Source organism: Homo sapiens, chromosome 4 (genome assembly GCF_000001405.40).
Source record: "Homo sapiens chromosome 4, GRCh38.p14 Primary Assembly".
Lineage (NCBI taxonomy): Eukaryota > Metazoa > Chordata > Mammalia > Primates > Hominidae > Homo > Homo sapiens.
In genome coordinates this window covers 152,656,745-152,672,153 of record NC_000004.12, presented here as the reverse complement: position 1 = coordinate 152,672,153, position 15,409 = coordinate 152,656,745, and the positions used below count along the sequence as shown (strand labels likewise).

Here is a 15,409-nt window from a genome sequence, read left to right as displayed (position 1 = left end):
CTGGGACTACAGGCGCATGCCACTACACCCGGCTAATTTTTGCTTTTTTTTTTTTTTTTTTTTATAGAGATAGGGTCTCTGTATGTTGCTCAGCTGGCCTTGAACTTTTGGGCTCAAGCCGTCCTCCCACTTAGACCTCCCAAAGTCCTGGGATTATAGGCGTGAGACATTGAGCCCAGCCACACCCACTTTCATCTCACCCCTGGGTTGGGGATTCCCAAATAACCACCTCCAGCCAGACCTATCTGCCCAACCTGGTATTTTCATCACCGGTTTTCCCTGGACATGTCACAGGGGCCTTAAACTCAGTTCCAAAACAATACTCATTCTTTGCTCCCTGCCAGTTCAGACTCCTGTGGGCTCTCACCTAGGCTATTTTCTTTTCTTTTTTTTTTTTTTTTTTTTTTGAGACGGAGTCTCGCTCTGTCGCCCAGGCTGGAGTGCAGTGGCGGGATCTCGGCTCACTGCAAGCTCCGCCTCCCGGGTTCACGCCATTCTCCTGCCTCAGCCTCCCAAGTAGCTGGGACTACAGGCGCCCGCCACTACGCCCGGCTAATTTTTTGTATTTTTAGTAGAGACGGGGTTTCACCGTTTTAGCCGGGATGGTCTCGATCTCCTGACCTCGTGATCTGCCCGCCTCGGCCTCCCAAAGTGCTGGGATTACAGGCGTGAGCCACCGCGCCCGGCCTAGGCTATTTTCTTAACTTCTTAACCAGTCTTCTTGCCTCTAGTCTCATCTCCAACCCATTTTCACATAACCTCCAGAGTGATGGTTCTGCAATAAAAATGGAATCATTTCCTCCTGTACTCATCCCTCAGTGGTTCTTCATCTCCTTGAGATAGAGTCCAATCCCCTTGGCATCATTACAAGCTAATGATGAGCTGGTCTTGAGTTCCTTTCCTGCTTTACATTTGCTACTTCCTGCTTCCCACCGTGAGCCCTATAATACAGCCACTTGAGTGTGCCAAGCTCTGTTGGGCCACTGAGTCTTTCTGTATGCTGTGCCCTCAACTGTAATGCCTTTCTCTTCCCTCTTTGCTTGAAGAACTCCCAAGGTTCAACTGACTGGTCCATTCCCCTGCATCAAATACCTGAGTACCCCTTAGCCCCGAATGCAATGAATGTCTTCCTCTCCCATGTACTCATGAGACTTTGTATACAAACACATGATGGCTTTTATTAATCTGTATTATAATTACCGATTTGCATGCCATCGTCCCTACTTAACAGCCACTTCCCTGGGAGGCAGAAGCTGGTCTCATTCACCTGCACTTGCCAAATGGCCACTTAGAATGGCCACTTGCACGTTAATAGGCACACAACAAAAGTGTAGTGGCTGACTCAATGAATGCATAAACATGAAATTTATCAAATGCCCCAAGATTTACTTGTATATATGAGGAGATTGTAATCATTTAAATAATAAAATCAAAATATATCAATACTTGGATAAATGTTATTTTTAGTTAACCCAGTTTTATAATTTTATTCCAGAATATTAGCTAACTATCCCAAATCTTTTATTTATTTAGTTATTTTATTTTATTTTTATTTTTTTGAGATGGAGTCTTACTCTGTTGCCCAGGCTGGAGTGTAGTGGTGCAATCTCTGCTCCTGCAACCTCCGGCTCCCGGGTTCAAGCGATTCTCCTGCCTCAGCCTCCCGAGTAGCTGGGATTACAGGCACCTGCCACCAAGCCCAGCTAATTTTTTTGTATTTTCAGTAGAGATGGTGTTTTACCATGTTGACCAGGCTGGTCTCAAACTCCTGACCTCAAGTAATCCGCCCACTTTGGCCTCCCAAAGTGCTGGGATTACAGATTACAGGCGTGAGCCACCGCACCCGGCCTCCCAAATCTTTTAATGTATGAACAGTTCACCTCTGTCCCTTCAAACCAAAACAATTATTGCACTCTGCCCCCGCCAGCCTTCCTGGAGAAAATACTATGTAGCTGCGGAGAAAACATTTTTACCCACCTTCTGAAAATATGAACACAAGTTCAGACCCAGAAAAATACACAATAAGTGGCAAAATTATTTACAGAAAGGATACACAGTTACAAGCATTTTGGGGAGACATTTGAAAGGAAAACAAAGGAAATACAAGTTCCATGGATACTTAACTTCAAGCCAGTAAGAGCTGATTTGATAACTTTAAAAATAACTAAACTTTGTGTAACATAAAACTCATGGGAAAATCTACTCCAGTTGTTGAGGAAAACACAGAAATATTTCCTGAGTAATTAAAGAAGGTGGTTAAAAGAAGAGTTACCTAACAGAACAGTATTCTGGTAGTTGTTCTGGCTTCTTTTCCTTAAAACCAATAAATCTAGTTTGTTTCTGAATTTTTTCTATGTTTCATATGAGTTAAAACCATCGTTGTTATTTTCTACTTCACACTACACTGTAATTTTCAGAAACGGGATTCCAATGGTTGCCAAGGTTTGCTGACATATTGTAATTATTCCCTGACAACACTAAATGCATTCATTTAAAAATTGATTTATTCTTTTCTAAGACTTATACTTGTTTGCTTATTTGTTTATGATTAAGATTGCCACATTTAACAAATAAAAATATAGGACAACCAGTTAAATGTGAATTTCAGATAAGCAATGCTTTCCTTTAGTATAAGGATGTCCTTTACAATTTAGTATAAGTATGTCCTTTACAATTTAGTATAAGTATTTAGTACAAATATTACATGGGACATGTAACTAAAAATGTTTCATTGTTTATCTGATACTCAAATTTAACTAGGCATCCTGTATTTTACCTAGTAATTTTATTTCGGATTGTGATTATCTTTTATCAGGCAAAGACCATCTCTGTGTTGGTTCTGGTTCATCACTAACATCATAGACATGTTGGTTATGTACAGCTACGTATTAGAATAATATTTAGGCTGAGTCCTAGATCAACCATTCAAATAAAAAGAGACCATTTCTGAAAAAAAATACTGATAATTACATAGAATAAAACCAGGAATTCAAGAGCAGATCAACTTTTAAAAAATCTGTGAATGTAATCACGTTAAAAACTAAGTTAGGAAAAAATAATAAGTTTGTATTAATAAATGCACAAGAGAGGTTGACAAAGAGAGTGAGACTAGCACCAAATCGATAGCTCCAGCCACGATAGGAAAATTCAGAGTGCTTGAGCCTAGAAGACTGTTCAGGATGGAAGGGTAGGATTGATTCTCTTTGAAGGTGAAATAGGACCAGAAGCCCAGTTGCTTTAGGGATCTGTTCGGGGCTTAGCTGATCCAAGGAAATGCGACCCACGATTCTTCAAAACCTCAGCAACTTGTTTCCTTCTTCAGCCTCTTGTAGGAAAGCATCAAACGCTGTTGCTCCTGTGCTCCTGCTTAGGCTGGCGATGGGGACTCTGGTGCATATCCTCTCCCTGTTGTTCCTCCTTCACTCTTGGTGGCGACCAAGCCCCTGGGGTGGCAGCCCACAGCGTTCCCTGGTTTCCTATCTTTAACTTATCACAAGCACCCACCTACCAGTTGTTGTTTTGTTTGTCTCTGTCTTCCAGTTTTTCTCTCTGGCAATGCTGAGCTTGTGCTGAGCCGAGCAAGGAGTGGGATGCGCATGTACCCCATGAAAGAGCTCTTCACCTATGGAATGGGGTGGCGGTGTCTTCCCACCCTGCCTCAGAGGCCAGGGAGACGGCAGATGTCTTGAGGCAAGGGCATGGCTGGGAGTATCTGTTTTCAAGTTACTCTTTTCAATTATAATTTTGAAATTGGCCCTTGAAAAGAAGAAATATAATAAAATAAGTAGAAATATAGTAAAATTGGGAAAGTATTCAGTTTGGCAATAACGATCATTTAATAATCCTTTTTTTTTTTTCATTTCAAAGCACTTTCATGTTGCTTATCTCATTGATGGTACGAAGAACTTTTTGAAGGTTTTAAAATATATTTGTGTTCTGTCTCCTAAAAATACGCATTCTTTAAAACTGCCAGGTGCTACAGGTTACTGTAGGATTCCAGTGTATAAAAAGGTAGTCAGGCGGTCAAAAATGCAGCTTCCCCAAGTGAGTGACTTCAAACCAGAAACAGCCTTGGGGCCTGAGCAAATCTGATTAAATGTGAGCAAGCTTCCTCTTAAAAAGACATCAAAATAAAAGTTTCAAATGAAAAAGACATTGGAACATTGTGGGTCTCCCCACTGTGAAACATGTTTTAATCTGATAGTAAATTACAGTTGCAGGTGTGCTTCTCAATTCAAGGAGGTAAAAATACAACAAACCCTAACGAGTAATTTCCCAGAGCAGACTACTGGCTGAAAGTGTTTTACCAGACAACCTCCTCAAAACCAGAAAAAAGAATCCTTTCTTTATGTTCTTTCGATGCAAGGCATCATCACCTCTAGTTATCTGGTGGCTGAAGAGAAAAAGTGTACAAAACACAGGCATTGCTTGATGATCTCAAATACCTTTCTGCACTTACAAGCTGCCATTAATCTTCAATGCTTCTGCCTTGTATCTGTTCAACCACCTATTTACTCTGTCCATAACTTCTTCAAGTAAATTAGTCAGAAAAAACATATTAGGTGAAGGCTTTCACTTAATAAAATTGGCAAATATGTAGAACAACTGAGCTTATAAGAAAACAGCAATCCCTCCTCTTCTCGAGTCCTGCTCCCAGAGAGAATCAAGTCACCTGACCTTTACGTGGGGGCAAATGCATGAACCACCCTCATTGCTCCTGACAAAAAAAAAACTATAAACATGAAGTCTCATTATTTAGGATGCATAAGTTGTTATTAAGCAATTCCTCCATTCCCTTGTATGTTCGAAAAATTTAGATAGCTTTTTGAAGGAAAACCACTTTAGATTTGTCTTTCTTTGTGACTAGAGATACACCGTGTATGTATGACAGAAAGGAAGTTGTTAGGGGAAGGAGGAGATCAGACTCTGGAGAAAAAGGTGAGAGCGTGACTGGCAATTTCACCACAGGCCCACCAGGCCTATTGGACATTTCCTTCAGTCATTCCTTCCACACACAGCAGATGGGGTTGCAGGTGCTGGGGATACGTACAAAACAGTGAAGGAGACAGATGGCAGAGAAGTACACAAATGAAGTAATTCCAGATAATAAATAATAAGTTAGTACCGTTTGGAAATGAACTAGAGAAAAGTAAAGTGCAGAGCACTTCAGAGCAGCATCTGTAGTCCATGAGCATCGGTGTCCTCGTAGCACTGTCTGCAGTCCATGAGCAATGGTGTCCCATCACCACCATCTATAGTCTGAGCATTGGTGTCCCAGCGCCACTGTCTGTGGTCCATGAGCAACAGTGTCCCAGTGGTGTCATCCATCCACTTGGAGTTAGTGTCTCCATGCAAACACAATCAGCCTCCCATAGCCAGGTTGTGTCCTGAAGAGTCTGGCATGGTTATTCTCATTTTAGTCCCATTCTGTCCCTGACCACATCACAATCAGATTCCACAGATGCTGAACAATTGATTTTTAAAAAGAGATCAACTGAAGAGTTAAACTGTTTAATGGTGCATACTCCAAAATGCAAATTCTGGTAGGACTTGGTGGCTCATACCTGTAATCCTGGCACTTTGAGAGGCTGAAGCAGGAGGATTGCTTGAGCCCAGTAATTTGAGACCAGCCTGGGTAACAAAGTGAGACTCCCTGTCTCTACAAAATTTAATTTTGTTCCCAAAGGCTTCTGTGGAGGGTTGTCTAATCACATTTAAAACTAATGACTGTCTTCACGAACAATGGCAAATTAAAATAAAGTCCACTCAGTTATTATTTAACTCAGTCATTCTCAACCTAACATACATACTTACTAGAGTTATTTGGGGAGCTTTTAAGAAATACTGTTACCCAGGCCACGCCCCCAGATAGTCTCAAATAACTAATTTGGTTAGGGCTTGAAAACTTCCCAGGTGACGCTGATGCACAGCAAATGTGGAGAACAACAACAGGTGTGACTGATAATTAGCCACAACTAAATGAGATTGTTTGAGCAACTTCAACCAGTATGCCCTGCAGACCAGCAGCATCAGCACAACCTGATTACTTGTTGAAAATGCAAATTCTGGTAGGACTTGGTGGCTCATGCCTGTAATCCTGGCACTTTGGGAGGCTGAAGCAGGATCGCTTGAGCCCAGTAGTTGGAGACCAGCCTGGGTAACAAAGTGAGACTCCCTGTTTCTACAGAAAATGCAAAAATTAGTCAGGCGTGGTGGCGCACGTCTGTAGTCCCACCTACTTGGTGGGCTGAGGTGGGAGGTTTGCTTGAGCCCAGGAGTGCAAGGCTGCAGTGAGCCATGTTCATACCACTGCACTCCAGGCTGGGCAACCAAGTGAGACCCTGTCTCAAAAAAAAAAAAAAAAAGCAAATTCTTGGGCCCCCTCCCAGACCTATTACATCAGAAACTGTAAGACTACGCCCAACAATCTGTGTTTTAAGAAGGGCTGTAGGTGTTTCCAATACACACTAAGGTTTGAGGACCGCTGTCTTAAAGCACCAATTAAAGCTATTGCTGATAGCTCTTCTATTAGCCATAACATTTTCTGGATATGCAGGGTTTAAACCCTGGCATGCATCTCTCTAATTCAGGCTTATTCAGGAAGGTGTGATTGTCACAGCCCTCTCTCATATCCTAGCTAGACTCTTCCAGGTTCTTGAGACTTCAGTGATGATTTTTAAGCTATTGTATTCTGGTGATAGAGTTGGCAGCTGCTAGGCAAGCCTTTGGCATCCAACTCCTTGACCTCTAATTTTTCTCAAATTCACCGAGGACCATAGAGAACAAGACAGGGAATGATCTGGTGTGGCTCAGGGGAGGCCAGAAGTGGGCAGGGTCTAGAGAAGTGAGACACAACTTCAGCTGCGTCCTGGAGCCACAAGGAGAACTGTAAAAATTATTGAGACCTGGGTTCTACCCCTAAATATTTAGATTGATCGATATTTAGAACAGGGTCTTGCTCGATTACCCAGGCTAGAGTGCACTGGTGTGATCATAGCTCATTCAGCCTTGGACTGGACTCAAGTGATCCTCCTGCTTCGTTCTCCCTAGAAGCTGCACCCTCAGGTATTTTGATGTAACTGAGTTTGGGGTATGGTGTGGGCATCAGGTTATTGAAAGATGCCTCAGTGATTCTATGGGCAGACTAGGCTGAGAACCACTGGAAGACTTCCTGGTTTGTTTTTCTCTCCTTCTTCTAATGCTAATCAGGCTCTTCATTATATACAGGAGAATGAAAAGGAGTCAGGCTTTTGGGTGTGATTTCTTGATCATCCTGAAATTCAAACATGTCAGTTACTCCACAACGCAGGGAAGAGTTTGAGGGCTTGACATCTGACATGTTTTCTTTCATTTTACCATCTTAACTATAAAATTGTTTAAATAATTTGCACATGGAGTTCACATAATTGACAAATGAAAGAATGGGGCATCTGACTGTGGTCCAACATACTTCATGACATCCTGAGTTTAGTAGCATTCTCTTGTCATTGTTTTATTTCACATTGTATTACTAATGTGACAGTCTTTCAGTAAGTTTATAATACTTTCTTCTTCTAACTTTAAAAGCTAGAGCTTGGTTGCAGTTTTATAACATATTTTTGTGTTTATTAATTAAGCTTTAAAAAAATTTTACTTTAAATTCCAGTGTGCAGGTTTGTTACATAGGTATATGTGTGCCATGGCGGTTTGCTACACCTATCAACCCATCATATAGGTTTTAAGCCCTGCATGTATTAGGTATTTGTCCTAATGCTCTCCCTCCCCTTGTACCCCCCCGCCACGACAGGCCCCAGTGTGTGTTGTTCCCCTCCCTGTGTCCATGTATTGTCATTGTTCAACTCCCACTTATGAGTGAGAACATGTGGTGTTTGGTTTTCTGTTCCTGTGTTAGTTTGCTGCGAATGATGGCTTCCAGTTTCATCCATGTCCTTGCAAAGGGCCTGATCTCATTCTTTTTTATGGTTGCATAGTATTCCACGGTGTATATGTACCACATTTTCTTTATCCAGTCTATCATTGATGGGCATTTGGGTTGGTTCCATGTCTTTGCTATTGTAAACAGTGCACGTATGTGTTGGTTGCACATTTGTTTCACTTTCAGAAAAAGAGAAGTTAGCTAGTTTGCTTCCTGGAGAAGCAGAGTCATTTCCATTTAGTGATAATGCCCTGAGCAGGGATAATGGGGACACTGTGCTGCCCAGCTGTTGGGGCTGCCAGGCGTTACCTCAAACATTTCTTCCCATTTACAAGGATTTCCCCATACATCCTCACCAGATGTGTGAAAGATGAATCCCAGATGTGTCTGCGTGAATATTGTCAATAAGTATTTGTAAGTGACTCTGTACACTGTGCAGTTTATTATCAAGTGATCTTAAGATTTTTGGATAAACAATAAAGTGAAGTATTGCAGCTTAGTTTCATCATTCACATGACTGACCACTTCCATTATCTCTTTAAAATGCTACATTATCTGACCAGAGAGAAAGAGAACTGGTGAAACGGAGAGAGACTTCCTGGGAGAGTTTGTGTTGCGGTCACTTGAGATGACTGTGACTTGGCCACCTAACAGCAGGGGCTTCTGCCAAATCTGCAGCTTATGAGGCTACCAGCCTCGGCCCTCACACCCAGTGATCTGGGAGTTTGGTCCCATGCAGGGCATGAAGCCACGCAAGACTGACCTTCACACACCTTTCTGCTTCTAACCTGTTGTGTTCCTTATTTCTTCTTTTCTATTCTTTTGCTTGTTAATGCCTCTCTCTTTGCCCTCTAACCCTGTGTCCTATTTCTGTCTTCTGTAGCTTTGCTAGTTTTACCTCTAGCCCCACCTCTTTTACCCTGAAATATGCCCAAATTTAGATAAGGAAGTAAAGTAGCAGTAAAATGAGGAAGTTATACCAGGCAGATTAACCTTCTGGGGAACAGCAGAGAAACAGGCAAGTACAGAGATGGGGGAAAGAGAACAGGTGATGGATGAAGAAAATAACAAAGACACAAATACCTGGCCCGTGTATGGTGCTTTATGGCTCCTAAAGCATTTTAACAGTTCTTATTTCATTTACTTTCATATGAACACTATGGGCTAGACAGAGCAGAAGGCCTACTTTTTTGGCTTTTAGGAAATGGAGAATTAGAGAGGGAGGGAATTCTTCCCAGGCCCCAAGGGTGCAGAGGGCAGCAGCCAGTCTCAAGCCTAGCTCTTCTGAATTCAAATCCTGTCTTCCTTCCACGATGCTATGGTTATGTCCTTGGAGTCCTGGAGCGCAGCACAGGGAAGTACCCCTGTGTGTTCTGGAGGGTTCACCTCCAGACTTATTTCCTGAAAGAGAGTTCTGCCTTCCTCCACAGTGGCTGGACTCCCAAAGTTGTAAAAGGTCACTTTCACCCAAGAAGCCCAGGATGCCGCCCGCAGGAAATCTCCATGGACGATTATGGGCCTTAGTCAGTGTTTCTTTAAACACAGTGGTTTTAGGGGGCCCCATGTCCACTGCATTAAGAGTGGCTGTTAACCCATAGGCCATGGGAGGGACACCTGTCATGTTTTGGGGGAAATCCCTTGAGCTGCCCTCCGCATCCATACTTTTGTGGCCTTTGGCACCTCCTCTGGTTTCCACCTTGTTGGTGTACACTTCTGATTTTCTTCCTAACTCTTACCTTGTCACCTTGGCAATCCACTCCTGGCTGCTGATCTGATTCTATGGCTCATCTTTGTTTGCCAGCTCACCTTTTGATGACATTTGATTCCTCCTTGCACAAACTCTTGGAGCTGATCCCCAGTGTTTTCAACTTTCCTCCCTTTGACATCCCAGACTCCCTGCACACCTGGTTCTTCCCTTAGTTTCTGTCAATTCTCATTATGTGGAAACTGGAGTACTAGGGTTGTCTTAGAGAATTTTTCTGATCAGACCACCAAGAGTAGTTTGATGCTGTCCCCTCTTACCCTGCACCTAACACCCTCTCATGCTCTCCCCATTTTTAGATACACTGTAGAACTTGCTTGCCTGTGTGCAAACTGAAGGATGAGCAGAGAGGTTTATTGCAGTATTGTTGGAAACACAACAGAACCTAAATCTCTGTCAATAGGAAAAGATTATAATACATTCAAACAATGGGGAAAAAAGCTCTCTATACAGTCATGGAATGATCTTCAAGATAAAATTTTAAGTGAAAAAAGCAAGGGGCAGAAAGTATATAAATTGTGCTACCATTTGTGTCAAAAAGAGAAAACAGGAAACAATACTTATACTTGTATATGCATAGAGTTTCTCTCAAAGGAGCAGAAACGGTGGTTACTTCTGGGCAAGGAAACTGAGTAACTTGGGGAAAGGGTGGTAGCGAAACTTCCTTTCTGAACTGAGTACCATGTGCAGATTACCTATTCAAAAACTACTTAAAAACAAGGTAGAACACTTTGGAATCAACAGAGATGTGGAAATAGATGGGACCTTGGGGATCACTCCTTAGTTGTACAGATTAGAGCATTAAGTCATCAAGAGAAAAGTAATTTGTCCAAATTCTATAAGTACAAAGTGGCAGAGCTATGACCAGACCCTCATCTGTTATTTGTCACCTATGCTTGAGGAAATGCACCTTCAAAACTCAGTAGAAATTAACAATATAAATGACAGGATTGCACCCCAGGGCAAGGGCAAGACATTCAAGATTCAGTTTCTTCATCTGTAAAATGTGGGCAATAAAGTTGTGAAGATCGAATTAGATAGCACATGTGTATCCTAGCAGCTAGCACATACTAAGCATTCAATACATCCCAGTTACTGTAATTTATTATTTTGAAGCTATCATAGAGTTGGGGGGAGAGAGAGAGAGAGAGAGAGAGAGAGAGAGAGAGAGAGAGAGAGAGAGAGAGAGAGAAAGAGAACAATCCCTTGATTCTCATTTATTTAAATAGCCACTAGAGAATCTGAGAGAGCAAATGATGCTTAATGCAGAAAACATATGTGAGGGCATGTGGGAGGGGGACATTGCAGAGAGAACTTTCAGCCTCTTTAACTCCACCGTTCCACCAAGGGCCACCTGTGAACAGCGTTGTCTCACGCTGAAAAGTAAATGTACACAGGCCAGGACCATCTGGTATGCTTCTTTCCGTTTCTCTTTTATTCCCGATTGTCTAGATGTCCCCATTATTCTTGTTAGCTTGTTTCCTTTCCTATTTTCTCTTTTCCCGGGGCCACGGGTCAAATGGTGACTAAGATGCAAAGTGTTCTTCTAGGGACTTCATTCACCTTCCTCAGAGAGGTGCTGAAAAGACCCTGTCCTTCTGGGCAGCTTTTCTGGCAACGCATCTGAGCTGAGGAGCCTTAGCAAGAGCCCCAGTAAAGCCGAGGTTTCTGGGAACCCTTTCCTCTGTCCTGCCTTGTGCCAGAAAGCCACCTCCTAGTATAGGCGGAGGAATGGGAGCAGGAGGTTCCCTCTCATTCACCACTTTATGGCCAAACTTTATGATTTGCAAGCATTGCATTCCTCCCTGAGGGAGGGAAAACACTGTGTGGGGTTATAAGCTCTGGTTCTGCCATCGGCCCCCTGGTTTCAAATCGTCACTCCTCCATGTGAGCTCTGTGATCTTGGGCAAGTTGTGTAACCTCTTTGCCCTAATGTCTATCTGAAAAAATGGTGAGGACAAAATGAGATAATCGATAATCCGGGTACAAGGCAGAGCATAGAGATTGGTTCTTAGTAAATTCTCAAAAAAAGATGCTGAAATAGTAACAGCGGCTACAGTATTCATAGAAGTAACCAAAAGAAGTAAAGTGAGGGGGGGGCGGGGTCTGGATACTCAAGGAAGATTCACTGACCTCTAGGTAAAAGGATTATTACCATCAGCCGCACCAACCACCAACCCCATTCCCCACCCCACACCCAACCTCATCATACCCATATGTACCAGTCTTCACTGGCCAAGGTTACCAGTGAAAACGCTATTTGATCTGGCTGCAGTAGTTCTCCAAGCAGAATCATTTTAATGAGGAGGTTTTCTGGAAGACAAATGTCCTTTACTAGTCCAGGGTGATACATGATATATCAAAGGCTTTAACATATATGTGAATACATTATTGACTTACCCAATTTTAAAGACTTATACAGTAGTCCCCCCTTATCCACAGTTTCGTTTTTCGTGGTTTCAGTTACCCGTGGTTTCAGTTACCCATGGTCAACCGTGGCCACAAATAGTACAGTACAATAAGATATTTTGAGAGCCAGAGAGAGATCACATGCACATACTTTTATTATAGTATATTGTTGTAATTGTTCTATTTTATTACTAGTTATTCATTGCTTACTGTGCCTAATTATAAATTAAACTTTATCATAGGTATGTTTAGAAAAAACACAGTGTATGTGGGGTTCAGTACTACCGATAATTTCAGGCATCTTCTAGGGCCTTGAAACATGTTCCGCTTGGATAATGGGGGACTACTGTAAATGTAGGACAAAGCCACTTAACTCAGAAGGCAGAGATCAGTAAGTGGTGGATTTTTATTGACACATAATATTTTACATACTTATAGGGCACATGTGATATTTTTTGTTGCATGGATAGAATCTATAATGATTAAGTCAGTGTATTTGGGGTATCCATCACTTTAAGTATTTATCATTTCTATGTGCTGAGGACATTTCAAGTCCTGTCTTCTAGCTACTTTGAAATATAAAATATATTATTGTTAACTACAGTCGTCCTACTCTACTATTGGACATTATAATTTATACTGTCTAACTGTATGTTTCTACCCATTAACCAACCTCTCTTCTTCCCCTACTCTTACCCACACACCCTTCCCAGCCTCTGATATTTATAATTATACTCTCTACCTTTGTAAGATCAACTTTTTTAGCTCCCACATATGAGCAAGAACATAAGATATTTGTCTTTCTGTGCCTGTCTTATTTTACTTAAAATAATGACCTCCAGCTTTATCTATGTTGCAGCATAAGACATGATTTCATTCTTTTTTATGACTGAATAGTATTCCATTGTGTATATATACCACATTTTATTTATCCATTCAACCATTGATAGATACGTCGGTTGATTTCATATCTTGGCTATTGTGAATAGTGCTGCAATGAACACGCGAGTGCAATTATTCCTTTGATATACTGATTTATTTTCCTTTGGATAAATACCCAGTAGTGAGATTGAGGATTGTATGGTAGTTCTCTTGTTAGTTTTTTGAGAAATTGCCCTACTGTTTTCCATAGTGGCTGTACTAATTTACATTCCCACCAACAGTGTGTAAGAGTTCCCTTATCTCTGCATTCTTGCCAGAGATGAGGCAAGAATGCTTTTTCCTTTTCAACAATAACCTTTTTTTTTTTTCTTTTGAGATGGAATCTTGCTCTGTCACCCAGGCTGGAGTGCAATGGTGTGATCTCAGTTCACTGCAACCTCCAACTCCTGGGTTGAAGTGATCCTCCTGCCTCAGCCTCCCAAGTAGCTGGAACTACAGAAGTGTGCCACCATGCCCAGCTAGTTTTTGTATTTTTAGTAAAGCTAAAAATTTTGTATTTTTAGCTGGCCAGGCTGGTCTCAAACTCCTGACCTCAGGTGATCCTCCTATCTTGACCTCCAAAAATGCTGAGATTATAGGCATTAGCCACTGTGCCCAAAAATAACCATTCAATGAAATGATATTTCATTGTAGTGTTGTTTGTTTTTTGTTTGTTTTTAGTCTCTATTTCATTTAGTTCTGCTCTGATCTTTATTATTTCTTTCCTTCTACTAATTTTGGGTTTGATTTGCTCTTGCTTTTCTAGTTCCTTGAGATGCATCACTAGATTGTCTGTTTAAAATCTTTCTACTTCTTTGATGTAGGTATTTGTTACTATAAACTTCCCTCTTAGCACTGCTTTTGCTGTATCCCATAGGTTTTAGCATGGTGTGTTTCCATTTTTATTTGTTTCAAGCCTTTTTTAAAAAATTTCCTCCTTAATTTCTTTCTTGACTCAATGGTCATTCAGGAGCATGTTATTTAATTTCCATGTATTTGTACAGTCTCCAAAGTTCTTCTTATTATTGACTTGTAGTTTTATTCTGTTGTGGTCTGAGAAGATATTTGATATGATTTCAATTTTTAAAAATGTGTTGAGCTTGTTTTGTGTTCTAACATTGTTTTCATGATGATAAATATTGTTCTTTTGCTTCTCAGTGGACTCCCTTAAGCATTTCTTTTAGGGCCAGTCTAGTGGTAACGAATTCCCTCAGCTTTTGCATGTCTGGGAAAGACTTTGTTTTTCCTTTGTTTTTGAAGGATAACTTTGCTGGGTATAGAATCCTTGGTTGACAGGGTTTTTGTTGTCATTGTTTTGTTTTCTTTCAGCCCTTTGACTTTATTACCCTGTTGTCTCCTGGCCTGTAAGATTTCTGCTGAGAAATTAACTGTTAGTCTGATAGGGGTTCCTTTATAGGTGACTACATGCGTTTCTCTTGCTGATTTTAGATTATTTCTTTGTCTTTGATGTTTGACAGTTTGACTATAATGTGCTGTGGAGAAGTCCTTTGTTGAATTATATCTATTTGGAGAATTCTGAGCTTCCTGTATCTGGATGTCTAAATCTCTTGCGAAACTTGGGAAGTTTTCATCTATTGTTTCATTAAACAGGTCTTCTTTTTCTTTTTCTTTTTAGGCAGGATCTGGCTCTGTTGCTGAGGCTAAAGTACAGTGGCACAATCTCAGCTCACTGCAACCTCTGCCTCCAGGGCTCAGATGGTCCTCCTGCCTAAGCCTCCTGAGTAGCTGGGTTTTCAGGAGCATGCCACCACACCCAGCTAATTTTTGTATTTTTAGTAGAGATGGAGTTTTGCCATGTTGCCCAGTCTGGCCTTGAACTCATGAGCTCAAGCAATCTGCCCTCCTTGTCCTCCCAAAGTGCTGGGATTACAGGCATGAGCCACTGCATCTGGCCTTGTTTCATTAAAAAGGTTTTCTAACACTCATTTTCTCTTTGCCTTCTTGCTTTATGGTATCTCGTATGTCACACAGGCTTTTCTCATTCTTTTTTCTTTATTTTTATCTGACTAGGTTATTTCAAAAGACCTGTCTTCAAATTCTGAGATTCTTCCTTCTGCTTGATTTAGTCTATTGTTGAAGCTTTCAAGTGTATTTGATTTTATTTTATGAATTCTTCAGGTCCAGAATTTGTTTGGTTCTTTTTTATTATCTCTATCTCTTTGGTGAATTTCTCTCATTCATACCCTGAATTGTTTTCTAATTTTGGGTATTGTTTTTCTGTATCCTCTCATGGCTGGAGTGCAATGGCATGATCTTGGCTCACCGCAACCTCCACCTCCCAGGTTCAAACGATTCTCCTGCCTCAGCCTCCTGAGTAACTGGGATTACAGGCATGCACCACCATGCCCGGCTAATTTTGTATTTTTCGTAGAGATGGGGTT

The 15,409-nt window shown here is 41.3% G+C and overlaps 1 protein-coding gene across 4 annotated transcripts in view, besides 4 other annotated features; it reads left to right on the top strand.

Annotated features, from left to right (window-relative positions):
* Positions 1-15,409, top strand: part of TMEM154 (transmembrane protein 154) — a 61,370-nt gene that overhangs the window by 7,844 nt on the left and 38,117 nt on the right. The window lies entirely within an intron of this gene.
* Positions 6,166-6,225: a silencer, noted in NCBI's record as "silent region_15752". NCBI's record gives its function as "represses an Ori minimal core promoter by ATAC-STARR-seq in GM12878 lymphoblastoid cells {active_cell/tissue: GM12878}" and the evidence as "EXISTENCE:reporter gene assay evidence [ECO:0000049][PMID:35858748]".
* Positions 8,321-8,400: an enhancer, noted in NCBI's record as "active region_22040". NCBI's record gives its function as "activates an Ori minimal core promoter by ATAC-STARR-seq in GM12878 lymphoblastoid cells {active_cell/tissue: GM12878}" and the evidence as "EXISTENCE:reporter gene assay evidence [ECO:0000049][PMID:35858748]".
* Positions 8,491-8,560: an enhancer, noted in NCBI's record as "active region_22039". NCBI's record gives its function as "activates an Ori minimal core promoter by ATAC-STARR-seq in GM12878 lymphoblastoid cells {active_cell/tissue: GM12878}" and the evidence as "EXISTENCE:reporter gene assay evidence [ECO:0000049][PMID:35858748]".
* Positions 11,182-11,231: an enhancer, noted in NCBI's record as "active region_22038". NCBI's record gives its function as "activates an Ori minimal core promoter by ATAC-STARR-seq in GM12878 lymphoblastoid cells {active_cell/tissue: GM12878}" and the evidence as "EXISTENCE:reporter gene assay evidence [ECO:0000049][PMID:35858748]".